Source organism: Homo sapiens, chromosome 9 (assembly GCF_000001405.40).
Source record: "Homo sapiens chromosome 9, GRCh38.p14 Primary Assembly".
In the NCBI taxonomy this organism is placed as follows: domain Eukaryota; kingdom Metazoa; phylum Chordata; class Mammalia; order Primates; family Hominidae; genus Homo; species Homo sapiens.
In genome coordinates, this window is record NC_000009.12 from 120,901,349 (window position 1) to 120,929,335 (window position 27,987).

The 27,987-nt window shown below is 50.2% G+C and overlaps 2 protein-coding genes across 4 annotated transcripts in view, besides 10 other annotated features; both read right to left on the reverse strand.

Moving 5' to 3' along the window:
- PHF19 (PHD finger protein 19) overlaps nucleotides 1–2,780 on the reverse strand; it is a 48,478-nt gene extending 45,698 nt beyond the window's left edge. The window contains exon 1 of the mRNA XM_017014612.3: nucleotides 542–2,780. The gene's annotated coding sequence lies outside the window, so the exon portion shown is untranslated. The remainder of the gene's footprint in view (nucleotides 1–541) is intronic.
- Nucleotides 504–593: an enhancer, noted in NCBI's record as "active region_28903". NCBI's record gives its function as "activates an Ori minimal core promoter by ATAC-STARR-seq in GM12878 lymphoblastoid cells {active_cell/tissue: GM12878}" and the evidence as "EXISTENCE:reporter gene assay evidence [ECO:0000049][PMID:35858748]".
- Nucleotides 1,045–27,823, reverse strand: TRAF1 (TNF receptor associated factor 1). Of its 3 annotated transcripts, NM_001190945.2 has the most exons (9): nucleotides 27,766–27,823; nucleotides 25,202–25,340; nucleotides 24,588–24,953; nucleotides 22,357–22,444; nucleotides 12,887–12,952; nucleotides 11,980–12,390; nucleotides 9,988–10,165; nucleotides 7,882–8,030; nucleotides 1,045–3,890 (listed from the first exon to the last, which is right to left on the reverse strand). In NM_001190945.2, the coding sequence occupies exons 3-9, from the start codon at nucleotides 24,725–24,727 to the stop codon at nucleotides 3,672–3,674; spliced, it is 1,251 nt and encodes a 416-aa protein (NP_001177874.1). In that variant the 5' UTR covers nucleotides 24,728–24,953; nucleotides 25,202–25,340; nucleotides 27,766–27,823; the 3' UTR covers nucleotides 1,045–3,671. The 3 variants fall into 3 exon arrangements, with proteins under 3 accessions (NP_001177874.1, NP_005649.1, NP_001177876.1); NM_005658.5 differs by lacking the exon at nucleotides 27,766–27,823 and having other exon boundaries at nucleotides 25,202–25,448; NM_001190947.2 differs by lacking the exons at nucleotides 22,357–22,444; nucleotides 24,588–24,953; nucleotides 25,202–25,340; nucleotides 27,766–27,823 and adding an exon at nucleotides 13,160–13,235.
- Nucleotides 4,154–4,313: an enhancer, noted in NCBI's record as "active region_28904". NCBI's record gives its function as "activates an Ori minimal core promoter by ATAC-STARR-seq in GM12878 lymphoblastoid cells {active_cell/tissue: GM12878}" and the evidence as "EXISTENCE:reporter gene assay evidence [ECO:0000049][PMID:35858748]".
- Nucleotides 12,164–12,668: an enhancer, noted in NCBI's record as "H3K4me1 hESC enhancer chr9:123675790-123676294 (GRCh37/hg19 assembly coordinates)". NCBI's record gives its function as "activates a minimal SCP1, AML or CMV promoter by ChIP-STARR-seq in primed H9 embryonic stem cells {active_cell/tissue: H9 hESC(primed)}" and the evidence as "EXISTENCE:reporter gene assay evidence [ECO:0000049][PMID:30033119]".
- Nucleotides 18,017–18,166: an enhancer, noted in NCBI's record as "active region_28905". NCBI's record gives its function as "activates an Ori minimal core promoter by ATAC-STARR-seq in GM12878 lymphoblastoid cells {active_cell/tissue: GM12878}" and the evidence as "EXISTENCE:reporter gene assay evidence [ECO:0000049][PMID:35858748]".
- Nucleotides 19,366–19,435: an enhancer, noted in NCBI's record as "active region_28906". NCBI's record gives its function as "activates an Ori minimal core promoter by ATAC-STARR-seq in GM12878 lymphoblastoid cells {active_cell/tissue: GM12878}" and the evidence as "EXISTENCE:reporter gene assay evidence [ECO:0000049][PMID:35858748]".
- Nucleotides 24,077–24,600: an enhancer, noted in NCBI's record as "H3K4me1 hESC enhancer chr9:123687703-123688226 (GRCh37/hg19 assembly coordinates)". NCBI's record gives its function as "activates a minimal SCP1, AML or CMV promoter by ChIP-STARR-seq in naive H9 embryonic stem cells {active_cell/tissue: H9 hESC(naive)}" and the evidence as "EXISTENCE:reporter gene assay evidence [ECO:0000049][PMID:30033119]".
- Nucleotides 24,197–24,266: an enhancer, noted in NCBI's record as "active region_28907". NCBI's record gives its function as "activates an Ori minimal core promoter by ATAC-STARR-seq in GM12878 lymphoblastoid cells {active_cell/tissue: GM12878}" and the evidence as "EXISTENCE:reporter gene assay evidence [ECO:0000049][PMID:35858748]".
- Nucleotides 24,727–25,066: an enhancer, noted in NCBI's record as "active region_28908". NCBI's record gives its function as "activates an Ori minimal core promoter by ATAC-STARR-seq in GM12878 lymphoblastoid cells {active_cell/tissue: GM12878}" and the evidence as "EXISTENCE:reporter gene assay evidence [ECO:0000049][PMID:35858748]".
- Nucleotides 25,407–25,726: an enhancer, noted in NCBI's record as "active region_28909". NCBI's record gives its function as "activates an Ori minimal core promoter by ATAC-STARR-seq in GM12878 lymphoblastoid cells {active_cell/tissue: GM12878}" and the evidence as "EXISTENCE:reporter gene assay evidence [ECO:0000049][PMID:35858748]".
- Nucleotides 27,387–27,976: a silencer, noted in NCBI's record as "silent region_20228". NCBI's record gives its function as "represses an Ori minimal core promoter by ATAC-STARR-seq in GM12878 lymphoblastoid cells {active_cell/tissue: GM12878}" and the evidence as "EXISTENCE:reporter gene assay evidence [ECO:0000049][PMID:35858748]".

Genomic DNA, 27,987 nt, shown 5'->3' on the forward strand with positions numbered 1-27,987 from the left:
TGCCCAGCTATTTTTTTTGTATTTTTAGTAGAAACAGGGTTTCACTATGTTGGTCAGGCTGGTCTCGAATTCCTGACCTCAGATGATCCACCCGCCTTGGCTTCCCAAAGTGCTGGGATTACAGGTGTGAGCCACCACACCCAGCTGCAAATACCTGATTTCTAATGCCAGTCCCATCCCTGCCTCCTTGGGCCAAGCACTTGGCTTTTCTGGCCTTAGTTTCCTAATCTGTAAAAGAGGATTAAAGGGTGCTTGCCACACCGTTGAGGGAAGGGGTTGCATGTAGCCCCTCGGACCCTTGGCTCATTTGGATTAGGAGTCACAGAAACCAAGTAAGGAGTGCACCTTATGGCCAGACCCAGGGAGCCGGCAGCACCTGGTATTCTAAGTGCACTTCAGGGGCTGTTAAGTGATGAGGATCAGATGTTCCTCCCATCCAGCAGGAAGCAGGGGAAGGTTCTGATGCCCCAGTCAAGTCTGACTGGCCGTTGGGGGCAAAAGGTGTGACTGAAGCACTGACAAGGTGGGTGGAGGCACTAACCTGTAACACCTCCTCTGGCTTGGAAAGTTTTGCTTCATCAACTACAGCTGGAACCTCCGGGGGCAAGGCAGAAGGGCCAGAACAGGGAGGTCTTCTACTGAGGGGCTGTCATCGATGTCCTGAGACATTTGTGGAGCTTCTGGTATACACAGTGCAGACAGTTTCCCCTGAGAAGCTGATTGTCTAAAAGTGACACAAACCCTCTTCCCTGCCACGTGCCCCCGAAAAGCCCATCAGAAACCTGAATGGCTTCCCGTTGCCAACTGAAGCATCCTCACCCTGTACATTAGAACCCCCTGCGGAGACTTCATCCTGATGCTCAGGCTTTATCACTTACGGGGGTGAGATTCTGTCACTGGTGTTTTAAAAATCTCCCCAGCACCTTCGGGAACTGCTGGGGGTGGGGGACCTACTGAATCCACCCAGTGAAACGGTGGCTTTGCCTGCATCTTGCCTCCCCCACCCTTGAATCACCTGTAAAAGATGCAATGTCACATCTTTGATGCACTTAACATAGAGCTTTGTTGGAAAAGAAATCATTCAGTGTCTTAAATTATCATCTCATCCTGCTTTCAATAGGCCCAGGGTTACCAGCAGGTGCTCTGTGGGCAGGGCGGGGGGTGGGGGGGGGGGCGGTGGGCACTGCTGCATCTGATGCTGTCTACACTCCAGTTCATCTGACCCTTCTGACTCCCTCCCCCATCCTGCCACACAGACCCTGCCCTCAGCCAAGACAGCTCTCCGTTTTCAAGTCGGTACTCTTCCCTTTTCCCCATCCTCTGCATTTCACAATATTCTCAGGCTGAGCTTAAAGGCCTGAAGCCTTCCCTCCTTCACCAGCTGGATCTGGGATTCTGTGCTTTCTCTAAGCTTCTCCTACTCTCAATCATAATGATCTACTTATCTGCTCATTTCCTCCACTGAACTAAGAGTTTCTTGAGTCCAGAGTGCACATCTTGCCTTTCTCCCTTCAATGTCGAACACAGTTAACAGGTGCAGGTGTCAATGAAGCTTTGCTGAAAGAATGGCTGCATCTCATGCTCTTTGAAGAGAGTATGTATCTCTTGCCATCAGAAATAGGCAATCAAAAGTGTAGAGTAACAGCTGTTTCTCATGGGGGCTTGTTCTACAAATCCCCCCTTGGGCTCAACACTCGGTGAGTAGGGATCAAGAGGTTATTGCTAGGACATCAGTTTCAGGGCCTAGACCCATCACTCGCTAGGCCAGACCTTCATGTGTGACATCCAGCTGTCAGCAGGAAGAAGTCAGTCTCCACTGCCTCCACAGTCTCCGCTGCCACGCTGTCAGCCGTGGGAACAATAAAAAGCAGCCCCAGAATGTTTGCTGCTGTCGTGCATGGACGACACCATTGCACATAAAAGCACTAGTGCTCCATTATTGCAGTTGGGCCTCCTGAAAACCCCTAGAGCTGGAGAGGGCAAGGGAGAGGCTTCCTCTGATCTTCAGCTGAAGGACTAAGCATGACAGGATGCCAGGCTTAGAGCCCAGCTGGCCTGGGTTTCTGACCCATTGAGACTGCCGTGCCACGATGCTCCGTCACCTCCTTTGATCCTCCTGTATGCTGGGCTGGAGAGAACAGGAAGGGCTACTGACCCATTTTTATAGAAGCAACCCTAACGATTTGAGCAATGGAGTCTGGCACAGGCTCAGCAGGTGGAGGAAGAGTAAGCTGTCAGGAAAGCAGCAGGGGAGAGTAGTAGGGTCCTGACTTGTCTCAGGGTCTTTGGAAAGTTGGGTGTGGCCTCCAAGGTGAGAAGATAGGTGTGGGCCACCACCAGGCCATGACAGGCGGGCAGTATTGCCCAGGCTTCTCTCTCCAGTCTGTCCTGCGTGGCATCTCCTTTGAGGGTCAGAGAAGCCAGGGAGGGAGGCAAGCTGGGGTGGGTCTCATTATAGAAAAGAGAAGACTGGGGCTAAGAGGGGATGTTCCTGCCAGCATGCCAGCCTCTGATGCCACCTGCAAAACTGGTGGCACCACCTCAAACTCAGCAATGGCCTTTTCAAACCTGGCTCAGTACAAACAACTCCCAAACCATACACTTTAGGAAAACTTCGAAAGAGATTCTAAAAATTATTTCTTTGGGGTTATACATTGCTCAGTGGCTTGGAGGTCCTGATCAGTCTGCTGAAAGAAGTGGATGCCTCAGTTAATCAGGTGTTACGGGATTCTGGAAAGCACCAAAGGTGGGGCCTCTAGGCAGGAAGAGGAAAGTTTATGCCCCTCTTCTTCTTGAGGTGCCTCTGGCTGCACCTGGGAGCTCACAGTGACTGGGTTTCACCTGCATGAAGTGACGTGGTGTTTAGCTGATGGAGGCACAGGATGTGGGGGCTGGGTGTGCTCCTGCGTGTTGGGGAAGCTGAGCTGCCAGGCCCAGGGTGGCAGGTGCCCTGTGGACCAGGTCAGTCCAGTGGGGGTTACTGAAGGTGAGTGAGGAGCTGGGAGGACAGGAAGCTCCTGAATGTTTCCAGAACCCCTGTAGCTCTAGGACTCACCTGGGCCAGGAGGCCTAGAATGAGAGACTTTCTGGGCTGGAAGGAAACTTAAAAGTCTTCAAATCCAACCCCCAATTTGAAGTCCTAGTGGAGCCGTCTGGGTTTGCTTGTTCACCTCCAATGACGAGCCTGGACAGACTGCATTCAAACTGGCACCCCATCCCTTCCACCCGGTCCTGTTTCTGACCCTGGAGAAAAAGAGAGCAGGCCTGTGTCCAGGTCTCCCTGGCGGCCCTGCAGAGATCTTCCTAGCCCGAGAGCTTCTCTGCTTGGGTCCTACGGTTCCAAGCCTGGTTCCATTTTCTTCTCATTTGGTGAGAGTCCACCTCAACATTCGGGGCCGGAGTGGCTCACTGGCCTCCCAGTGTCGCATGGTCCGTGCAGAGGGGAGCAGCTCTGCCTGTCTCCTTCTGGACCCTTTGCCTTTGTGGGCCCAGCCCACGTCCTGCCATCCTAACCAGATGGCCAGCCCGAAGTCGACCCCTCAGTCTTGCTTGGATCATGCCAGCCTTCACCCATCTTTGTGCCCTGAGGTCTTGGGTGCCAAGGGCAGGGCATCACAGTCCTCTGGCTAGCTCCCTTCTGAGTTGGAGCTCCCTCAGGAGCCCCGCCCACCCTAAGTGCTGGTCTCCACAATGCACTTGAGGAACATTGTGTCGTCCTTCACGTAGGCGTGCTTGGGTGACTGCAGTTTGCTGAGGGGGAAGAAGAGTGGGCATCCACTGGCCACGTTGGTTTCACTCTGGGGCCTCTGGAAGGACGCTGAGCTTAGGTCAGGCCGGAAGGCGTCAATGGCGTGCTCACGGTTGTTCTGGTCCAGCAGCATGAAGGTGACCTGCAGGGAAGGGATAGGTGGGAGATCAGGCCCTACAGCAGCAGCGCAGCTTGGAGGCCCAGGCTTGGGCTCAGAGCTGTGCTCCACACCTACTGCCTGTGCAGCCCCTCAGACCCTTGGCTCATTTGGATTAGGAGTCAGAGAAACCAAGTAAGGAGCGCACCTGGCGTATGGCCAGACCCAGGGAGCCAGCGGCACCTGGTATTCTGAGTGCACTTCAGGGGCTGTTCCATGATGAGGATCAGATGTTCCCTCCAGCCAGCAGGAAGCAGGGGAAGGTTCTGATGCCCCAGTCAAGTGTGACTGGCTGTTGGGGGCAGAGGGTGTGACTGAAGCACTGACAAGGTGGGTGGAGGCAATAACCTGTAACACCCCCTCTGGCTTGGAAAGTTTTGCTTCATCAACTACAGCTGGAACCTCCTGGGGCAAGGCAGAAGGGCCAGAACAGAGAGGTCTTCTACTGAGGGGCTGTCATCGATGTCCTGAGACATTTGTGGAGCTTCTGGTATACACAGCACAGACGGAGGTTCCCCTGAGAAGCCGATTGTCTAAAAGTGACACAAACCCTCTTCCCTGGCACATGCCCCTGAAATGTCCATCAGGAAGCTGAATGGCTTCCCGTTGCCAACTGAAGCATCCTCACCCTGCACATTAGGACCCCCTGCGGAGACTTCATCCTGATGCTCAGGCCTTATCACTTACGGGGGTGAGATTCTGTCACTGGTGTTTTAAAAATCTCCCCAGCACCTTTGGGAACTGCCGGGGGTAGGAGAACCTACTGACTCACATCCAGACCAAAGCGGCACACCTGCCCTGCCCCACCTGTTTCCCCAGACCTGAGGTCTCTATTCTTGACACCCTCCCCTCATGCAATGCTGCTGTTCACCCACAGGAAATGCCTATCCCCCAAACCCCTCTATAAGAATTATGGTGTGTTTTTTTTTTTTTTTTTTTTTTTGAGACAGAGTTTCGCTCTTGTTGTCCAGGCTGGAGTGCAATGGCACAATCTTGGCTAACTGCAACCTCTGCCTCCTGGGTTCAAGCGATTCTCCTGACTCAGCCTCCCAAGTAACTGGGATTACAGGCATGTACCACTATGCCCAGATAATTTTTTGTATTTAGTAGAGACAGGGTTTCACCATGTTGGTCAGGCTGATCTTGAACTGCTGACCTCAGGTGATCCACCCACCTCGGCCTTCCAAAGTGCCAGAATTACAGGCGTGCGCCACCATACCCGGCAAAGAATTTTTAATAGATTGTATTTTTTAGAGCAGTTTTAGGTTCACAGCAAAACTGATTAGAAAATACAGAGTTCCCATATACCTCCTGCCCCCACCCAGTACACAACCTCCCCCACTATCAACATCCCCACCAGAGTGGTAGTTTTGTAACAATTGATGAAGCTGCATTGACACATAATTATCACCCAGAGTCCACAGTTTACATTGGCATTTACTCTTGGTATTTCACTTTCTATGGGTTTTGACAAATGCATAAGGACATGTATCCACCATAACAGTATCAAACAGAATAGTTTCACTGCTCCCAAAATCCCCTGTGCTCTATTCATCTCTCCCGGCACCTACTCTTGGACAATCACTGATCTTACTGTCTCCATAGCTTTTGTTTTTGTTTTTGTTTTTGTTTTGAGACCAAGTCTCACTCCGTCCCCCAGGCTGGAGTACAGTGGCGCGATCTCAGCTCACTGCAACCTCCACCTCCTGAGTTCAAGCGATTCTCGTGCCTCAGCCTCCAGAGTAGATGGGATTACAGGCACACATCACAATGCCCAGCTAATTTTTTGTATTTTTTGTAGAGACAGGGTTTCGTTATGGCTGGCCTCGAACTCCTGGGCTCAAGCGCTCCACCTGCCTCGGCCTCCCAAAGTGCTGATATTACAGGCGAGAGCCTCTGTGCCCGGCCTATCTTCATAGCTTTGGCTTTTCCAGAATGTCATATAGTTGGAAGCATTCAGAACATAGTCTTTTCAAATTGACTTCTTTTACTTAGTAATATGTGTTTAAGTTTCCTCCCTGTATTTTCATGGCTTGATAGCTCATTTCTTTTTAGCACTGAATAATATTCCACTGTCTGGATGCACCACAGTTTATTTATCCATCCACCTACTGAAGGACATCTTGGTTGCTTCCAAGTTTTGGCAATTATGACTAAAGCTGCTATAGACATCCTTGTGCAGGTTTTTGTGTAACATAAGTTTTCAACTCCTCTAAGTAAACTCCTTTGAGTCCAAGGAGAGCAACTGGCTATATCGTTTGGTAAGAGTGTGTTTGGTTTTGTAAGATCCTGCCAAACTGTCTTTCAAAGTGGCCGTACCATTTTGCATTCCCACCAGAAATGAATGAGAATTCCTGTTGCTCCACATCCTCGTCAGCATTTGGTACTGTCAGTGTTCCAGATTTTGGCCATTCTAGTATGTATTAATATGTAGTGATACCTGCCTCCTTCCTTTTTCCTGAAAATTCTGCTAGTTCAGGCTAGCCTCACGGCACCTCCTCCCAGAAGTTTTCCTTATTTACCCCACGATGTGAAGGAGGAAGAAGAGTGGGCAGCCACTGGCCATTCATTCCATCCCTCCCTCCCTCTTTCCTTCCCTTCCTTTCTTCCTTCCGTTCCTCCATTTCTTTCTTTCTCTCTCTCTCTCCTCTTTCTTTGAGGCAAGGTCTCACTCTGTCACCCAAGCTAGAGTGCAGTGGCAAGGTTATGGCACACTGCAGCCTCAACCTCCCAGGCTCAAGCAATCTTCCCACCTAAGCCTCCCAAGTAGCTGAGACTACAGGCATGTGCCACCACGCCCAGCTGATGGTTTTTATTATTATTATTATTTTATTATTATTATTTTATCAATAAAATATTTTTAATGCCTACAATTTCTTGTATACATAAATTGCAAAACTTTCACCTGTATATGCGAAAGTATATTCTCTTGCAGGTCAACAGCACCAGAAAATAAGCTAAGCTATCTAAAAAATTTTTTAACTTGATTTGTCCATTATGTAAAAGACAGGATGGATTTAATAACTCCAAAGAAATCTCTATCTCACTGTTAATCATACACTAAACGTCTGAATATTTAATCACATCCACTCAGAAAATAAATTGTAATCTAATATATTCAATACATTGAAAATAAAACAACCAGTCTCTCTTCATATATTTATTCTCTTTCCAAACATGTTTTGGTCTCCTGCTATATCTCAGAAATTTACCAATAGCTGCTTTTAAGTTACAAAATACAAAACAACAATTTATTTCTTGGAGAAAATCTTGGGGATTACATTAAAAATGAAAATTTTAGTTCCCACATTCTTTTTTTTTTCTGAGATGGAGTCTCGCTCTGTCACCCAGGCTGGAGTGCAGTGGCGCTATCTTGGCTAACTGCAACCTCCGCCTCCCAGGTTCTAGCGATTCTCCTGCCTCAGCCTCCCCAGTAGCTGGGATTACAGGTGCATGCCACCACACCCAGCTAATTTTTTTATTTTTAGTAGAGACGGGGTCTCACCATGTTGGCCAGGCTGGTCTCAAACTCCTGGTCTCAAGTGATCCGCCCGCCTCGGCCTCCCAAATTGTTGAGATTACAGGCTTGAGCCACCATGCCTGGCCAGATGGTTTTTATTTTTAGCAGAGATGAAGTCTTGCCATGTTGCCCAGGCTGTCTCAAACTCCTGAGCTCAAGCAATCCTCCCACCTCAGTCTCCCAAAGTGCTGGGATTACAGGTGTGGGGCACTGCACCTGGCCATGAATTTTATTTCTATATAACCTTCAGGAAGATTCCAGACATTTTAGCTCCTGGACTCATGGAGCTGGAGGGAGCCCTAGTTACTAGATCTGATTGTTTTATAAAAAGGGAAACTGATAACACAGAGAGGGTGGGGGACTTGCCAGGTCACATGGCCAATTCATTGCCAAACCAGGACTAGGACTCAGGCTTCCATGCTCCCCACCTTACCCCCATCACCTTCACACCCATACCTTGTTCCGGAAGGGCCACGGCAGCAGCGCATCATACTCCCCTCTCATGATCACGATGAAGAGCGACAGATGGGTTCTCTTTCCAGTGCCATCTCCATTCAGGTACAGCCGCAGGCACAACTTGTAGCCATACTTGGCAGTGTAGAAGGCTGAAACGCAGAAGCCAGAGGCAGTTGGGAAGTGCTGGACTTTGCAGATGTGGGACTGGGATCCAGTGGTCAGGCATGCCCAAGGTCAGCGGCTCAAAACCATGAAAGATGGGGTTAGAACCCAGCATTCTTCTCGAGTAGGGTGTCAGACAGGAATGGGCTCTTGGGGGTCATCTAGCTTAGTGTTTGTCAGCTGGCCATCCAAGTCATACACTGCCGGGCCCCACCCTCAGAGTTTCTCACTCAGTGACCCTGGGGTGAGAACTGAGAGTTGGCACTTCCAGCAAGTTTGCAGGGGTTGCCAATGCCACTGGTCCTAGGACCACACTCTGAGAACCACTGATCTAACCAACCTATGTTTTACAGTCTGGAAACCAAGCTGAGAAAAACAAAGTGGCTGGTCACCATCTCACGGTATGTTGGGGACCCAGCAAGAATGAGGGGCCAGGCTTCCTGCCTCCCAGCAGCAGTTTCTTTCTGCTGCCCTATGCCAACTGGCTGGGGTCCCCTGGAGGCTGAGGGTACATGGGGTGACTCACAGTTCTGCCCTATGCCAACTGGCTGGGGTCCCCTGGAGGCTGGGGGTACATGGGGTGACTCGCAGTTCTGCCAGCCATTCTCAGGTGGCAAAACCCTTTGAGGGCTGAATCATACCTGGTGAACATGCACAGAAACCCCCTGGGCAGCTAAAGGGGCCATCCCATGAGAGCATGTCCTCTGGCAGAGCGCCCTTCTGGGAGAGGCTGACTGGGGACATGAATTGGGGGCAGGCAGGAAGAGGGTGGAGGAGGGACAGGCTGGCAGTCTGACTCATCTTTGCCCATTACGTTTTGGTAGAACAGGAAGCACGAGGTACTGCTTGCTTTTTCCCTCTTTGAAAAGAATTGAGGGAAAAAGGTCTACAAGTAGGGCTCGAGGCCACCCCATGAAGAGAGCTGTCCCAACACAGTGGGATGAGCGCTACTCCTGCAGGAAAGGAGTCCCAGCCCTGCTCTGGGATTGTGACACACTCCGCTGCCTCGTTAAAAAAAAATTGTTTTTTGAGAGGGTCTTGCTTTGTTGCCTGGACTGGAGTTCAGTGGCACCATCATAGCTCACTGCAGACTCAAACTCCTTAAGCCATCCTCCCATCTCAGCCTCTCAAGTAGCTAGGACCACAGGTGCAGGCCACCATGCCTGGCTAATTTAAAAAAAATTTTGTGGAGATGGGATCTTGTTACGTTGCCCAGGCTGGTCTTGAACTCCTGGCCTCAAATGATCCTCTTGCCTCAGCCTCCCAAAGTGTTAGGATTATAGACATGAGCCACTGCACGCAGTCTGCTGCCTCATTTTTTGCACAAATATATGCACTGTTATATTAACAGATATCATTTAGTTAAGAGAAACACTTGCCAAGTAATTACTTTATGCAAGACATTGTGCCAAGCCCAGGGGCCCCAGAAATGAGTAAGAACTGAGTAAGACACTCATTCACATATGCTACCTGCAATCATACACAAGTGCATGTGTCTTACTCAGTTCTCTAATCTTATTTCAGACTGTCGGCTCTCTGAGGCCACGGTGTTCACTTGTGAAAATCATCATCCACATCCATCTCATCTGCACATACTGTGGCCCACAGCACACTTTCCTTCACATCCCAAACCCATGAAGTGGGTAACAGTTTTGATTCCTATTTGCAGAATGGGACTGACATTCAGGGAGGAGAAAGGGCCTGAATGTCAGTCAGCTGGGGCCACCGCTATGTGTGGCTGAGAGCCACAGGGCAGAGCACGGTTCACCCACCAACCTGAAGATCCCAGCATGGTTCCTGCCCATGGTGAGTGGCCTGAATGGGCACTGGCCTAAACTGGACACAGCGTGTCTGTCACAGAGCTGGCAGTTTTCACTGCTTGCTTCCTGGGTCCTGTGGGGCCTGTTTCCCCAGGCAGGTCTCTGTGCCCCTGGGAGGTGTTACCTGGGGAGAAGAGGCTGACGGTCCTGCCACAGGCCGACTCATGGCACCGCCTGGTGACATTGGTGATCTTCCACAGGAAAGTGCCATCGAAGGAGGCCTCCTCCATGAGGCGCAAGCTCTGCTCCAGCTTGCCCAGGGCCTGGTCTTTCTGGGCCAGGGTCTGCTGAAGCTCCACCACCTGTAGGGAAGACTGTTCAGCCAGGAACACCAGAACCCGGCTTGGGGATGGGATGGGAATGGCGGGATGTGGAGATTGATCTGCCCCAGATGTGTTTTGCTGACCACGCCTCACTCAGGTGTGCGTCTGCATCTGAATGTGCTGCCCCCTGCCTGGCCTTCCTTTTCCTTATCCACCAGGAATCCAGCTCATATGGCCCCTCATCTGGGAAGCCTTCAACCACTGTCCTAGCTTAGCTGCTCTCTTTCAATATGTTCTTACAGAGCCCTTACAATGATTTCATGAGACATATTTTTCTGGCTTCCCTACCAGATGGTCTCCTCCACCGAAAGCTGGGCCCATGCTCATTGTGTCTTTGTGTCCATGCCTTGCATAGTACCTGGTATGTAAAAGTAGAGCTGGGAAGTTTGTGGGTGAAATGAAGGTATAATTGTGGCTTTCAGGGAGGCTGCCTTTTAACTGGAGCAAGAGTTACATAAATAAAGGCTAAAGCCTCAGCCACTCCAACTCAGCGCCTGGCCCTTCTAATAGCTTTCCCCAATAAAATGGAAAGAATATAAATTTATTCTTGGGTGTGCTCAGGTAGGGAAGCCATGAATGGAAGTGAGCATCCTTAAAGAAAATTTAATCGTTAATTTTACTGATGGGGAAGGTCCTGAGAGGGAAAGTGACTTGCTCAGACCCACACGGCAGGTGGCTCTGATCACCTGCTGTAATGGTAATTGCGAATGGTGAGGCAGATAATGGTAATGGTGAAGCAGGAACTAAAATCCAGGCCTAACTCAATATGAGACAATGATGTAATGTTACTGCAAAAGAAGCAACATTAGAATGGTCATTGGCTACATTAAGAAAAGTATAGGCCAGGCGCGGTGGCTTATGCCTGTAATCCCAGCACTTTGGGAGGCCGAGGCAGGTGGATCACGAGGTCAGGAGATCGAGACCAGCCTGACCAACATGGTGAAACCCCATCTCTACTAAAAATACAAAAAATTTAGCTGGGTGTGGTGGCACACGCCTGTAATCCCAGCTACTCAGGAAGCTGAGGCAGGAGAATCGCTTGAACCTGGGAGTGGAGGTTGCAGTGAGCCAAGATCACGCCACTGCACTCCAGCCTGGGCGACAGAGCAATACTCTGTCTCAAAGGAAAAAAAAAAAGAAAGAAAGAAAAGAAAAGTATAAGCTCTAGAATAAGGGAGAAGACAGCCCTGTTGGACCAAGAACTGTGGCCAAGTGGATTATCTGGAGTCAGCCTGGTACCATACTCCAAGCGTACAGAATTCTTTGGAGACTGAGCCAGAGCGTAGGATGGCAATGTGAAGCAGCATGCTCTGAGGAAGACGTGAAGGCGCTGGGGCTTTTAGCCTGAAAAGGGAAGCACTCAGGTAGGACAGAATCTGACCCTCCATCCCTGAAGGGCTGTCATGGGGACTAGAAGGTGGATTTGTCTTGTGGGCTCTGAGGGGCAGGGCCAGGAACAATGCAGGGAAGAGACAGGCTGATTTTAGCTTAGTACAAGGAAGAACTTGCTAAGAGTGGAATATGTCCTGCACTGGAATGAGCTGCTCAGGGAGGTGGTGTCTTATCACAAAAGTTCAAGCAAAGGAACCGAAGCACTGGATGGGAGGTTATGACCTTGACTACAGCTTCTAACTCAGCGCTCTTCCTGGAAGGGTGTGGGATAAAGGGGAGATACGTTTTGATGGAGTGACTGCTGTAAGCAGGATGAATGATTAGGAGGAAGCCTGTCTGCCGCTCTGGAGACAGGATGGGGCTCAGCCGGGCTTGAAGGCAAACCTGCCTCCCACACTCACCCTCTGCTCCAAGCTCAGGATGCGCTCACGGTCCAGCTGGCTCTGGTGGATAGAGGTGGCCAGGGCCAGGTGGGAGGCCTCCACCTCCTTGTTGAGGACAGCAACAATGTTCTCAAACACACGCAGCTTCCCCTCCAGCTCAGCCAGAAGCTTCTCCTTCATGAAGTGCTGCAGGGCCAGCTCCTCCTGGCTCTCGGAGCAGGGTGCCCGGTAGCAATCGACCTCCAGGTCCCCCGCCACTTCCACGGCTGCCTGCAGCTGCAGGTCTGACAGGTTCTGCTCCAGGGCCATGGGCCCAGACTCCAGGCCACAGCCCAGCCGGGCCTTCCACTGTTTCATGAACCCCAACAGCAGGTTTAGGTGGGAGGTCTGGGAGGTGACCTCATGCTCTTGCACAGACTGTGGGCTTCCCTGACAAGAGAGTGGGGCTGATCAGTGAAAACAGAGGTGGAGTGAGGACAGGGGAGCAGTGGAGTGCCCTGCTATCAAAGGTCACCAAGGATTATTCATTCACCCAGCAAAAAGGAGTGGCTTTCTGTACAGTGGGAGGGATTCAGAGGAAGACCCTGGCATCAGACATGCCCACGATGAGCCACATGCATTGCAGCTTCTAATTCTGCCCTGCCCTGGAGTGCAAGGATGATTCAGGACCATGGAGAGGGGCATTGGGGGTGGGGGTCATTTTAGTGATGTTCTGCCTATGCTTAGGTAAGACATTAGGAAGAACTTCCCTGAGTACTGTGATGACTTAATAGTAGGCTCTGATGCTTGGGAAAGTCATTAGTACAAAGGACATCCAGATGAGTGGACTGATGTTACGGGAAAATCATGGAGGGGCTGCAGTGGGGAGACCTGGAGGTCTGGAACCATAGTGGATAGATCTCCTTTCTCACACTCAGATGCTTACCTTGAAGGAGCAGCCGACACCTGCAAAGGGGCACCCAATTCCAGCCTCAGCCACCTCGGGGTGAGCCTGGAAATAATAATCACATCACTGAATGTTATAGCGATCCCTGTGGCTACCCTGGGGCTCTCTTCAATGCACCAGGATCCACCAGGGCAGGAGATGGCTTGGGCCACATGACTTTGCACACTGCTGTTCCCTTTGGCTATCTCCTTTCCACCCTTTAAGCTTCCACCCTTCCATGACCTTCCTTCAAAACAGGACCTGGGCCCTTACTGTGATCCTGGGCAGCACTGCTATTTCTCCTGTCAGGGCACAGTCCACACAGCTCCGTAATCATCACTCACTCTCTGGTTGCCCCGACTGGTCGGGGGGGCTCTGTGAGGGCCATGGCTGTGTTCCCAGTGCTGAGGGCAGTGCCTGGCACAGCTGAGACACTCAGAACACACTGACTGCATGAGTAAATGCCTCCCTCCTCCTGAAGTTCATGGGGAATCTTGGGCTCACAATTCCCATCTGCATCCCTCCTTGGCCATCTATCCTTGACTGAGGTGTGTCCACTCCGCACAACTTTCCCTTCCAGATAACATCCAGCCTGAGGGAAGGGATACAGGAGGGTCTCAGTGCTATTATAATAGCAATTTGACCCCACTGTTAGCCTATTTAGGTCTGAAGCATTTACCAAATGCTTTCATGGCCATAATTCTTCCTAGGGCTCCTTACAGCATGGTGGGGAAGAGAGGGTGGGTTTTTATTCCTATTTTACTGATGAAAAAACTGAGGCTCACAGAGGGGAAGGGATTTGCCCAAGGAGGCCGAGCTGGGAGGCAGCACAGCCACAGGGCCCCTCCCACGCACATCACTACCTCTTAACAGGAGTCAGCCCAGGAGAGATGGGAAAAAAGTTTTTCCAACATATACAGTCATGCAACAGGAATACATTCTGAGAAATGTGTCATCATTGTGTGAACATCATAGGATGTATTTACACAAACCTGGATGGTATACCCTGCTACACACCGAAACTCTGTGACAGCGTATTGCCCCTAGGCTACAAACCTGTACAGCACGTGACCATACTGAATACTGTAGGCAATTGTTAACACTGTAAGTACGTGTGTATCTAAATATATCTAAACATAGAAAAGGTACAGTAAGAATACAGTACTATACTCTTCTGGGACCATCGTTGTATATGTGGTCTGGTGTTGACTGCTACATGGCACATGACTGTATCTTCATAAAGGCTTGTATCCAGAATATATAGAGAACTCTTACAACCTAATAAGAGACAAATGACCTAATAAAAAATGGGCACAGCCAGGCTCAGTGGCTCAACACCTGTAAGCTCAACACTTTGGGAGGCTGAGGCAAGAGGATTACTTGAGGCCAGGAGTTCAAGACAGCCTGGGCAACATAATGAGACCTCATCTCTACTTAAAAAAATTTTTTAATTAGCAGTCTTGGTGGCGTACACCTATAGTCCCAGCTACTTGGGAGGCTGAGGTGGGAGGATCGCTTGAGCCCAGGGGTTCAAGGCTGCACTGAGCTATGATCACATCACTGTACTCCAGCCTGGGTAGCAGAGAAAGACCTTGTCTCTCTTAAAAAAAATAAATGAATAATGAACAGATACAATCTATGAAAGTATCTTATAAAGTTAAATCATACTTATAAAATAATTTACTTATAAACCATACTTATAAAGTTACCATACAATCCACACATTTCACTCCTAGGAATTTACCTAAGAGAAAGTAAAACATATGTCTGCACAAAGGTGTGTATGTGAATGTTCATGGCGGCTTTGTTCAAAGCAACCCAAATGTGTCATCAGCTGGTGAGTGGGTAAACAAATTGGTCTATATATACTACAGAACAACCAAATGGAATTAAATACCAGCATAAATAATAACATGGATGAACCTCAAAAACATTATGCTAAGTGAAAGAAGTCAAACACCAAAGACTACATACTACCTGTTTCCATTCTTACGAGCTTCTAGCAAAGGCAAAACTAGAGTGACAGGAAGTAGATCAGTGGTTGCCTCCTGGAGCTGTGGGTGGGGAGGGGACTGACTATGCAGGGACACAAAGCAGCTTTATCCCGTGCAGAAACATTTGCCATTTGACTGTAGTGGCGGTTACATGATTATTTATATTCATCAAACTGTACACTTAAAATGAGTGAGTTTTATGGCATATAAATAAAATCTTGATTCTATAAGCGCTTTGTTATTTATTTATTTTTTTTTGAGAGAATAATCTCATGGAACCACGTGAAAGGGGATTTGGACGAAAGCAGGAGAGGACAGAGGTCTTTCGGACTGAGCAAATACAAAAAGTCACACTAGTTATTATTCTTTAAAAGTAACATAACCAGAGAGCTGTGGGCTTAATGAGTACAGTTGGGTTGAGACACAGAACACAGCCCAGCAAAGGCCACCCTGCCCCCACCCCCACCCACCAACTGCCCAGGGCTTCAGGGACAAGTTGTTCCCAATAAATAATAGAAAACAGATGTTCTATGGAAGGCAGGCAGAGGGCGGCCTTGGCAGGGAGACCGTGCTGGCTTCGGGAAGTCTGTGGTGATGAAACCTCCCCAAACATGTAGCTTTTGACATGTGAGAACAGTGGAGGGAAGATGCTATGTGTAGACCTGGCTCCTTGGTGAATATACCTGGGGGAGCCTTTCAGGTCCCACCCCTCCCCACAGGTCCATGATTCCAATAGTCTGTGGTTCTAAGGGTCAAAGCTTGGTGGGAGAGTCATAAAAGAGATAAGAACATGAAAATGATCAAGCTAAGAGTGAAATTCCAGACATCACCCCGCAGGTGGAGGGGATGTGTCTTTCAGCAGCGGAGCTGTCCTGGCGTTGTGTGAACAGCAAATGTCTGTTTTAGGGAGTGAAATGCTATTCAGATGTAGGGACATCCTTCTGTGATGCGTGTACAGATGTGGACTGTGATGAGCCTTGAACAGTTGCTGGAGAAAGGGGCAGGGGTGACTTGAGAGGCTTTCAGAGGCTTCTCCATCATCATTATTCATTCCTTAGAGTGCACGGGAGTTCAGGATGTGGCCTCTGGAGCCAGCCTTTTGGGGTTCAGAGCTTGTTTCTGTCACTTCACATACTAGCTTTGTGGCTCTGGGATAGTTACTAACTCCTCTGTTCTGCAGTTTCCTCATCTGCAAAATGGGGATAATAATAATACCCCCTTACAGGGTTATTGTGAGGATTAAATGAGATAATACATGTAAGCACTGGTATTAGTTACCCATTGCTGCTGTAACAAAATACCACAAACTTAACAGCTTAAAACAACACAGCTTTATTATCGTACAGTTCTGGAGGCCAGGGGTCCTAACATGGAAATGTCAGCAGGACTGCGTTGCTCCTGGAGGCCCAAGGGGAGGATGGCTTCCTCCCTTCCCCAGCTTCTCAGGGCTGCCTGCACTCCTTGGCTTGTGGTCCCTTCCTCCATCTTCAAAGCCAGCAGTGGAGCATCTCCCCTTCTCTCTGACCCTCATCTCCCTCTTCTGAGGACACTTGGGCCTCCTGGATAATCCAAGGTCACCTCCCCATCTCAGAATCCTTCATTTAATCGTGTCTGCAGAGTCTGTTTTGCCATTGTTATGGGCTCAGCAACCCCCACCCAAATCAGATGTTGAAGTCCTAACCACCAGTATCTCAGAATATGGAGACAGGGCCTTTAAAGAGCTAATTAAATTAAAATGAGGTCATTGGGGGTGGGCCCTAATGCAATGTGACTGGTATCCTTTTAGGAAGGGGAAATTTGAAGAAGGACCACATGAAGACATAGGGAGGGGACAGCCATGTCAAGGCAAAGAGAGAGGCCTTGGAGGAAACCAACTCGCCAATACCGTGCCTTGAACTTCTGGCCTCCAGAACTGCGAGGAAATACATTTCTGTTGTTTACACCACCCAGTCTGTGCACTTTGTTATGGCAGCCCTGGCAAATGCATAGAGCCATGTGAGGTCACATACTCACAGGTCCTGGGGATTCACATGTGGACATCTTTGGAGGACATTATTCTGCCTAACACAGTGTTCAATAAATATGAGCCATTATTACTAATAATAAATTAATAGTAATAATGGCTCATATTTATTGAAATTATTCCATACTACTACTGAATACTTGTTGAATACTACTGCTACTAATAACACTAATAATACTAATAGTAGTAATACTACTAGTATTACTACTAATTAGTATTCTTATTCCTGTGGATTAAGCACTGCCCCGGGACATCTCCCAGTCCCAATCCCTCAGTGGCTGTCATATACATGTATCTCATTTAATCCTCACATCACAAACTCTTTAACAATGAACTCTCTAAAACTCCATTTTCCCACTGGATTTCCTCAAGGTGGTGAGGAACATTCCTAAATGAACAGGACCAAAATATGTTTGAATGTTGTCCCATAGGATCCCTGTGACAATCATCTGAGGCAGGTGGGGCTGTATTAGAGTCACCTTAACACAGGCAGAAACAGAGGGAATGGCTTAAGGTCATGCTGAGCTTGTGAGCAGAGGAGCTGGGCACACCTGTGCATTCTCTCTCACAGTTGTGAGCCCCTGCATGGGCTTGCTGCTCTCCTGGCACTCATGTAGACACTGTCCCATCAGATCCTCACAGCCATGAGGGGGAGGTTGGGGCTCTGAGGTTCTGCTTCCCTCGGGTAGGTGGAGAAGCCGAAGCCCAGGGGCGATCAGTGACTTCCAGGAGGCAACGGGGCAGGCGAGGGGAGCCCAGGAGCCTGGAGTCCGTGTGCAGGCTCCGTCCTCCCCACCATAGTGTCCTTGCCTGGGGTGGCCTCACTCAAAGGCCAGGGACCGAGGGGACAGGAGAGGGAATCAGGAATCAGACTGCATTGCAGGAGAAGAACAGAGGATCTGTCCTGGGCCAACCCTGTCTGGTGTCACAAGTGGCCCCTGTGTGAGTGGCCTCACTGCTTGCAAATTGCTAAAAATAAAGTGTGCAGTGGAATTTCCTCCGAGGAGGAGACAGAAACAGAGAAAACAGATTCCCAGCCCTGAGGGAACACTCGTTCTTCTGTCTGGGTCTGAGGAGTCTCTGCGTGTGTGGTGTTTCCGGCCACCCTGGCTACCCAGGCCCTTTGTGGTGGGGTCACAGTGGGCCCTAGCGGGGGGCCCCATTCTGAGACCTGGGGCCTCCGGGAATGTGACTGTTAAGAGGGTGCTGGGAGCATGAGTGCCACCTCTGCAGCCCCTGCACAGAACAAAGAGGATCTGAGCAGGCCAGGCACTGCCTACCCCCACACTGGGCTGAGGTCAGGGATGCCCGGAGGGGCTGCTGTGACTCAGGTCTCAGCTGGTGCTGAGGGGGTGCTCTACAGTCACATGGGGAGCTTGGTCAGTCTGCCACTGTCCGCCCGTTCCTGCCCTCCTCTGTAACTGGGCCGGTTTACTCTCTGTCAGCCTCTGCTCAGCTCGACCGCCACCTCCTCCAGGAAGCCCTGCCTGATTCTCCTGGTTGAACATAGTCTTGCCCATTCCTGTTTTTCCCATAGCACTTGGTGGACTCCTGCACTAAAGCCTGACTGTGTTATTTAAGCAGGTATGAAACATTTAGGGGAGGATTCCTTGTGTAGAGGCAGCATAGAGAAGATGCCACCAGCTCAGGAGCCATGGGTTAGAGCCTGGCTTTGCCTCCCACTTGCTGTGTGACTTTGGTCCAGGCACACCTCCTCATGGAGCCTCAAAATATTACCTATTGGTAAAATAGGGCTATCACCGCCACCCACCACACAGGATGTCACAGGATCGGGGCGATTACAGATGAACACTGTCAAGCTCAGAAGTGTAAGGTTTGGGGGTTTATTCCCAGGTATCACACTTCAAGGAACACAGATAAACAGAAGCGCATTTACCCCAAATGCACAGAGACTGGGGAAAGACTGCTCAGTGTCTTTCCATGGAGGCAGGACTGACTCCAGGGATAGGAGGCTAAGTTGCCTTTTGTGACCTCAAGGGAGACAGACAGACTTCAGCTCAGTACAAAGAAAGAGGAGAATGTTGCATCACTCAGAGCTCCCCAGGGTAGGTGTGGTTGTTTCATGGAGTAATGACCTCTCTGCCATTGGAAGGACATGGAGCCACGTAGCATGAATCCAGTACAGAACAGAAATTGGACTAGACAGCTTAAACCCTTGTCACTTTCTGAGTCTAGACAAATTAAGGCTTTACTGTGAGCTACTGGCATCAGTTGTCAGCTTGCTTTTGACCTTCTTGAATGGGCCTCAGGGGGAGGGGGTGGGAGAAACAATCCCATTTGCTGATCCTCAGCAGACAGGACTGAAGATTATCTCCAGCCCCCTGGCATCCCCTCCTTCACTGTCACTTCTACAGGAAGATCACGCCAGGCAAGTATCAAGTCTCTAACTAGGTCAACATTAATCCTCTAATATCTGCTTCTTACATTAGGTAATCAGTCCATGGCTCTGGGCACTTCTTTGGGAGATAATCATCTAATGAAGTCACAGGCTGGGGACAAACTGATAAGCAGATGGCATGGGAAGTGTTTGCAAGGAGGGCTGGTCCTCAGCCCTCCACCCTGCCTCCATTTCCCAGGTTGCCCCAGATGTGCAGGCAAACTTAGGAATTACCACACATGCAAAGTGGTGACTTATCATCAGCCACTTTCCTTTGGTCAAAAGTCCCCCAAAGTTCCCACTGGGGCAAAAGTCAGAGGAGTCCCTGGTCCTTCCCCTATGTGGCTTTGTGTAGGTGATCAGACCATGACTTACCGCCCCTCCCCACCCCAGCTTTTCACCAGAAGTCCATGACTCCACGAGGTGGGGAAGCCAGCAGGGAGGGGAGGGGGCTGATGCCTCTCAGAGGTCTGCCCGCATTAAAGAAGGCTTCTTTGCTCCCAAATACAGGCAGCTTCCTCTCCCATCCTGTAGCCTGTTAGGGTGCCTATAATTCTACCATGAATTATAGTGCCTTCACTTGGCTTAAGGCAGCAAGTTTCAAACTGTGCTCTGCAGGGCCCTAGGAGTCCCCAGAACCTCTTAGGGGCTCGGATAGGAGAAAGAAATGGGGCAATTAACAGGTCGGGGCTCCAGGATCCCCCTCCATCAGAATGCTTTTACTTTCATCTGATTGAAAAAGATGAAAAAAAGCCATTGGATTAGGAGATATTAAAATATCTATGTGATCTAAGATTTACACAATAAATGTGTATTAATTTTGTTAAGAGGAAAGAATAAAACAAGCTAAAAACAACAGTCCTAGAGCATTCAAGCAGGTAAGGGCCTTTTGCAAGTGAGGCATAGTGGCTCACAGAGTTGAGGGTCTGCTTGTGTCTCACAGCCGATCCACCAAGAGCCAAACAGTGAGGCTCAGGGAGTTACTCCACGGAGCAGCATATCATATTAACTCTTACCACGTTGCAGAGTGTAAAGTTCCAAGAACATGCATTTGGTCCTTACTCTTACTCTCTGAGGGCCTGCCGATGGAGAGGTTGCTGAGAAGCAGATGGGAGAGTGCTCAAAACCAGCTCTGGGTGGGACAGGAAATTCCCCTGAACTCTCTGAATGAGAGGGACCAGCTCAGAGAAAGGAGAAGGAGGTGTGGACACTCGCCTGCCTCTGGTCCAGCGGTAGGGGGATAGCTGCCCTGCCAGCACTGCTATCACGGTCTGGACATCACAGATCCTGGAAAGGCCTTGCAGAGCTGACTTAATATCCTCATTTTACAGATACAGAAACAGGGCCTGGGAATTGCTGCTAGCCAAGCAGAGAATTATGCAGAACCACCCCTGGACATCAGGCTCCTGATCCCTGGGCCACAGTTTGCTGCAAGAAGAGGGCTTTGGCTGAAAGGAGCCAGGCACTTCCCAGTGGAGGTAGAGAGGGCGGCTGAGCAACGAGACTCCTCTGCAGGTCTCAGGGCCCCGTGTGTAAACAAGAGGATTTGATTTTGAGCAGTGACTCCTGCCTGTTTGGATTCGTGGACCAATACGAGTGTGTTTTTTTTTAAATTGAGAGATTAACAAAGAGATTGTCATCTTTTTAATTTTACTTAGCAAAGGCTTTGCCAAAAACTATCATCTACGATTACATCCTTTCATTTATATAAAGACATGCATAGGACAGACGCAATCTCAGAGTAAAAGTTTGGTTTTATAAATGGAAAGAATTTAGTTTACATAAACTGATTTATAGAATTGCCTTATTTTTATCATTTTGTCATGAGCTGGTGGGAATGGATCAGTTCTGGATAGCATGTGGGAACCTCTGAGCAGGACATGTAACCTATGAGGGTCCTTCCAGCTTGGGAGGGCCAGGGTTCTAAATTGTAGCTCCTGAAAATGTCTCTCTGGCCTATCACACTTCCAAATGTGTCTCTTATTCCTAGAAGCACCGTTTGACAGAGCTCAGGACGTGAGCTGATAATGGTCTCTCCCCACCTAAAGGCAAACAGAGGCAGACAGAACCATCTAGATGAGGAGTTTGCTAACCTTTTTTATGTAAAGGGGTGGATAGTAAATATTTTGGGCTATGAAGTCTTTGTTGCAAGTACTCAATTTTATATAATTTTCATGTGTCCCAAAATATCTTTTTTTGTTTTTTTGAGACAGGGTCTCATTCTGCTACCCAGGCTGGAGTGTAGTGGCACGATCATGGTTCACTGCAGCCTCGACCTCCCCAGGCTCAGGCGACTCTCCTACCTCAGCCTCCAGACTAACTGGGACTACAGGCATGTGCCACCATGCCAGGTTAGTTTTTATATTTTTTGTAAACATGTGGTTTCATCATGTTGCCCAGGCTAGTATCAAACTCCTGGGCTCAAGCTCTCCGCCCACCTCGGCCTCCCAAAGTGTTAGAATTACAGGCATGTAATTCTATGTAATTTGAATTCTAACACTTCAGAATTACAGGCATGTTTGTCATTTACCAAGGGGTTTATATTTGTTATTATAAGAACTTTTTTGATTATTATTGATTGGGGCTCATAACAATTCTGTGATGCAGAAAACAGTTTTACAGACAAGCAAGCTGTGGCTTGAGAACATTAGCAGTGCAGCAGGCCACACAGTGAGAGAGTGGCCTCACAGCCTCGAGAATTACAGGTCATTATGCATGGCCTATCATTCTTCTGATTTTTTCAACCATTTGAAAATATAAAAACCACTCTTAGCTCGTTGCTTAGGTGGTGGGCCAGAATGTGGCCCATGAACCGTAGTTTGTGGACCCCTGGTCTGGACTGTTCTCACTCTAAGTCTATTGCCAGGTAGCTTTAGGCAAGACACTTCACCACTGTGAACATCAGTCTCCTTATTCCTTATAAAGCAAATTCAGTCTGGACTCAGGACTAGTTGGGAGGTGCCTGCCAGGGGTGGAGTGGGCAGCTGTCTACTTGGCTTCAACCTGGAAAAATCAAGACAACGGACAAATGCCTTTCTGTGATGTGCCAACGTACCTTCTCCTGAGTTCGAAGACGGCTTCCTGGGCTTATAGACTGGAGGTCTTCCCCTCTGCATTTGGGGCAGATCTGATCCTCGCCATTCCTGGGGAAACATGGACAAAGCCTTGGAGAGAGGCACTACAGCTCCCTGCACCATCCACTCTCCTGACAGCTCCAGAAGCCTCAACTATCAGCAGGGTGGTGATCATGTACGTCCACAATCCCAGAGCCACAGTTCCTAAATCGCAAAACTGCCGAGTATCCCACATTTTTTGGTAGTTTGCAGTGAGCTTCCTGGGCTGCCAAACCTGCCGTGACTGCACTGACCGGAAGCTATTATAGCCCTTACTTGCCCCACTTAGTGTGAATATATACATGTTTCATTGCAGAAACATTAATGTGCTTGATTACAGGGCACTGCCGCATTCCCTGCCACAATTACATGATGCCCTGATTTGCTTTTCTAAAAAAAATTCTGAATTACAAAACACATCTGATCTCAGGGGTTTAGGCAAAAGATTGCTGACATGTGACTATATTTGCTCTTCTCATTTGGTCCTCCATTTGGTTTTGGTCTTATATGTTTAGTAATTACAGAGGATCATGGCCTATTAGAACAAGAAAGGGCCTCAGAGAACATCTGTCCTAGAGGTTCTTAATCAGGAATGGGTGTCAGATTCTAATGGGTAACACCTGGGTACCCGTGGGTTTTTTGTCTGTTTTTTGGGGGTTTTTCTTTTTTTGAGACAGGGTCTTACTCTGTAGCCCAGGCTGGAGTGCAGTGGTGCGATCTCAGCTCACTGCAACCTCTGCCTCCCAGGTTCAAGTGATTCTCATGCCTTAGCCTCCCAAGTAGCTGGGATTACAGGTGCACACCACCACACCCAGCTAATTCTTGTATTTTTAGTAGAGATGAGGTTTCACCTTGTTGGCCAGGCTGGTCTCAAACTCCTGACCTCAAGTGATCCTCCTGCCTCGGCCTGCCAAAGTGCTGGGATTACAGGCATGAGCCACTGCGCCTGGCCAGCAACTGTGTTTTTACAAAGCTCCTGGTGTCTCTGACCTGCTACCGCTACCGAGATAGTCTATTTTACAAGTGAGGGAATGAGGCCCCAGAGGGCATGTGGATTGGTCAAGGTAGAGTGAGTCAGGAGCAGAGCTGAGTAGAAGCTCTTCAGGACTTAGGCCTCAGGCCTCAGCCCTCCAACTTCCAATCAGCTCCCTCCTCTGCCAGGTTTTGGAAGGAGGGAGAGGGGAAACCAGGAGACCCACTACCAGAGCCTGAGCTGAACCCTGACAATCCGCTTGATGGTAAAACCAGTGAACCTCTGCTCCTCCACCTCCTGGCTGGCCTTTCCACGGCCACAGCCTCTCCTCGCTATTCTCACAGCCTCCTCCTTTGTCGTCATGTTTGAACTTCTCACTTGCCTGATTCAGCTTTGCCACCTTCTTAAGCTGTAAAACCGCAAACAAAAGGTCATCACATGAGATAGTTTAAGGGCATATTTGCCAGGAAACTGACCAAAGCTGACCTAATCTGTTAGGCCTCAGTGTTCTCATTTGTAAAATAGGATCATAATAGTATCCACCCCTCTAAGTTGTGCTGAGGACCCAAGGGCAGAGCATTTGGCACACAGTAGGTGCATAATTGCTTAAAGAGGGATGTCCACAATAGTACTGATATCATGCCTTTCTGGGTTGTTAATATTTTAAGTATCATTAAATACACAAATATATATCGATCTCTTTGTCCCCTCCAAAAGGGTTCCCAGCAAACGGTCTGAGGTGATGAGCAATGCTGTGGAAGGAGAGATATTCGTCTAACAGTTTGTCATTCACCAAGAGGTTTATATTTGTTATTATAAGGACTTTTGTGATTATTATTCATTGGGCTTCATTAACAATTCTATGACACAGAAAACAGCTTTACAGACAAGCGAGCTGCGGCTTAGGGACATTAGCAGAGCACCAGACCACACAGTGAGACAGTGGCCTCACAGCCTCGAGGCTCTCCTCGGTGTGGATGGCTTTCCCCTGTGGGAGCTGATGCCTTTCTGTGGCTTCCTCTCCTTCCACCACAGCCAGAGGGGCAGTGTCAGGGAGTGTGAGAAAAGGGTGTGGAAACTGAGGCCCAGAGAAGAAAAGTCACCGCCTGAAGTCACAGGCTCCTCTGCCCCTCACCTCCCATCAGGGGTCCCTCCCTGGCACCCACTTTCTGCCCACCCTCCGCTCCTCCATCACCTCACCTCGGGTTCTCAGAGAGACAGCCTGCACAGCAGAGAGCCCTGGGCTCCTTTGGGTCCTGGCAGACGGTGGGAGGGCACCCAAAGGGAAACTCATTCTCATCAGGGGCCGGGCGAGGACTGCTGCCTGAGCTGGAGGCCATCTCAGGGTTCCAGGCTGGCCAGAGGGCCTGTTTAAGTTGCTCCAGGGCAGGGGACCAGCCTTGTGGAGTCCTGGCCTGGGCCTCACTCTCTGGTGAGTAGGAGCTCTGATGACTTTATCTTCTTCTCTCTGGCTTGTGTGGTTCAACGTCACAGCTGAGTCACAGCAGGGATGGAGCAGGAATTACCCTTTGTGGCGATAAAAATCCCCTGGATGGTGACTGAAGGCTTTAGGAGTGTCCAGTCATTTTTTTTTTTTTTTAGAGTGAGAAAAAGCAAGAGAGCAAGTCAGAGAAAATGACCCGTGTCACAGACTCTCAGAAAGCACAGTGAGAGTTCCCCTGGTTGAGAATCGCAGGCTGCCGCTGGCTTCCCCCACTTCCCTGGGCACATCGGAGGAGGGGGCCACAGCTGGTCCCTGGTCTGTGTTCCCTGGCACCTCTGAGCAGCCTGGAATTCTCAGTGGGGGTGCTCACCTTCCTGGTGGAAATCCCCAGGGTGTTGGAGACAGGTCCAAAATTTCAAGTTCTAGGCGCTTTTGCTCTGCTCTGTTTGGAGTGTCTGGGTGACCTCAAGGAGAAGTCACTTCCTCACAGTGGGTTCTGATGACTCCATCTGTAAAAAAGAAGTTGCAACAGGTGGCCTCTGGGCTGTAAGATTCTGGGACCCTATCTTGCCTGGGACTGAGGCAACCAGAAGGAGCAGGAAAGCCCTGATGAAATCCAAGGCCTAGGACCACAGACTCCTCAGGGCCCTCCCCACACCACCCCACTCAGGAAGTCATAGGTGGCTACATGCTCCGGTCAGGTGCCACCACTTTACTGCCTCAAGGAGAACAAAGCGCTAAACAAATGCAAGATCACAGCAGCTGGTCTCAGCATCCAAGTGGGATGTAGATCCACATTTGCAGGAAAAGTGCACTGGGGAAACGATGGCTCCCAGAATGTGTACTGTGTGCTGGGCAACAGTTTCCCTCCAAATCCTTACAGCAACCTGCAAGGAATTCTTCTGCAGCTGTATATAGGGTCAGAGAAGCAAGATGCCTGGTCCAAAGGCACACAGCCTCTGGTAGTGGAGTGGGATTCACACCAGGGCTGTGGGGCCCCAAGCTCTGTGTGCTTGGGATGGAGATCAGAGTACCCAGCTCTTGTCTCATCTATCAAATGGAGAAGACAATCCCTACACATCTTTCCATCCTGCTTGGCTGCTACAGAGGTTTTGCAAACTTTCACAGTGGTTTCAGATCATGGGTTTTGAGGTCAGACAGAGCTGAGTTGAAATCCTGGGTCCACTGCTTACTAACTGTGGGCCCTGGGACAAAGTCCTTAACTTCCCTGAAACTCAGATTCTGCATCTGTAAAATGGGACAATAATACCTATTTCACCCATTTGTTGTGATGACTAAATGAGATAGTGGGTCAAAGTGTGGTGTGTAACCCAAGTGAAGTACTTGAATGACATTTGGCTCAGATGGTGACTACAGGCCTTCCAGCTCCTCAGAGAAAAGGATTAAAGTGGTGCATTATGCTTATACTGTGCTTTCACGTCTATCTACTGGAGCCTCAACAGGTGGGCAGGGCAGGTCATCTGGCCTGAGATACATTAAACTGCCCACCTGCCCTGGTGTAACACCAGGGCTGCCACAGGCTGGTGGCAAAGACAGCACGGCATCTTACCGCCACAATGTACATCAGGACCTCCACCCCCATAACAAACGACCTCCAGGCCTGCATCAAGACTATCAGAAGACACTCCCTTTTAACTGTGTACCCCATACCTGCAAGCTTTCCTGCAGCCAGCCCTACCTGTTCCCTCCTTCCCCTGGTTTGGGATAAAACAGGCACCCAAGACTTCTCTCCCCATCTGTGGGTCCCTTCTCTCCCCTCCGGCCTCAATACCACCCTCTCTACCTGCTCATTCCCACGGACATCAAAACGTGCGCAACCTGCTCTAATAAGAAAAGGGAAAAATAGTACTACTTTTGGGTACCGTCTTACGTAATTTTACAGACATCATCTCATCTAATTTTCACTCTGTGAAGCAGGTATTGCCATCATCATCCCCACCTTACAGATGAGAAAACTGAGGCACAGAGAGGCTAAGCGACTTGTTCAAGGTCTCACAGCTAGTGAGTGGGGACCCCTGAACCCAGAGCCAGTCCTGTAACCACGCACGCTTTTAAAACACTCTTTATTCTCGTCTCCAATTTCTACATCTACTCTCGCCTCACCTAACGGTAGAACTTCTAGAAAAGATTGTCTATACAGGCACTTGGATCTCCAGGGAATCATCTCTCCAAGTGTATACGCATGTCGGGGACGCCAAATGCCCTGGGCCCGCCCCAGTTTCTATCCAACCAGCCCTCCTGCCAGCACCTGACCCGGCTCTCAGCCCTTCCTTCCGGAATCCCTTCCTTTCCCCGGCTTCCCGCATCCTCTGCGGGGAATTCCCCCCGCGTCTCTGGTGGCTCCTTATCCGTCTCCTTGACCCCTTTCTCTTCTACACTGGGCCTCCATCGGCTCCATCCACGAGGAGTCTCTCTGCGCCGCGTGTCCCCATCTCCCACTCGTCCTTTGGGGCGCCCCTGCACCAGACCCCACTCCCACGGGAAGTCTCCGTGGGCCGCCCCATGATGAGGCTGGGCGCCCCGCTCTGTGATTCCTCGCGCCTGCCGGCGCCAGCACAGCCCCCGCCGCCCGGCTCTGCAGGCTGAGCCCCCAGCCAGGTCGGTGAGCCCGCCCGAGGGCGGGGGAGTGTCGCGTCGCCACCTCCACATATCCAGTTGCGAGGGCAGCGCTGGGAGCCAGGCAGCGCCGGTGCCCGCGGAAAGAGGAATGAGCCCCTGCGGGGCCGGGGCGCCCGCGGCTGGGCTGGGGGCAGTTGAGTCCGGGGCGGTCTCTGCAGCCGAGGTGCCAGGTCCCCGGCTGCACCCGAGGAGTCCCCGCCTCAGCAAGCGGGAGCTGGAGCGGGGAGTTCGGGGCGAGGAAGGGGGCCGGGGAGCCGCCCTGCGGTCCCGGGGCAGGGGTGTAGGGCAGCCAACCTCGGCGCCGCCTCCGCCACCGCCTACCGGCGGCCAGGCCCGGAGCTTCCGGTGGAGTGTGAAGGACGCAGCCGCACCGGCGGAAACCGGCAAGGCAGGGCCGGGGCCCGGGGCTGCTGCTCCCCAGACCGCCGCGGGGCGGGGCGAGCGATCCCTGTGAGGGGAAACTGAGTCTGAGGGCCGGGTCTGCGGCGCCACGGGCACTGTGCGCCCAGTTAACTG

Coding starts and splice junctions, on each gene's coding strand:
- TRAF1 (NM_001190945.2), bottom strand. CDS start 24,727: ATGGCCTCCAGCTCAGGCAGCAGTCCTCGCCCGGCCCCTGATGAGAAT. Junction 10,166..11,979: donor TCCTGAGCTTGGAGCAGAGG/GTGAGTGTGGGA, acceptor TCTTCCCTACAG/GTGGTGGAGCTTCAGCAGAC. Junction 8,031..9,987: donor CGTCAGCCTCTTCTCCCCAG/GTAACACCTCCC, acceptor TCTGCGTTTCAG/CCTTCTACACTGCCAAGTAT.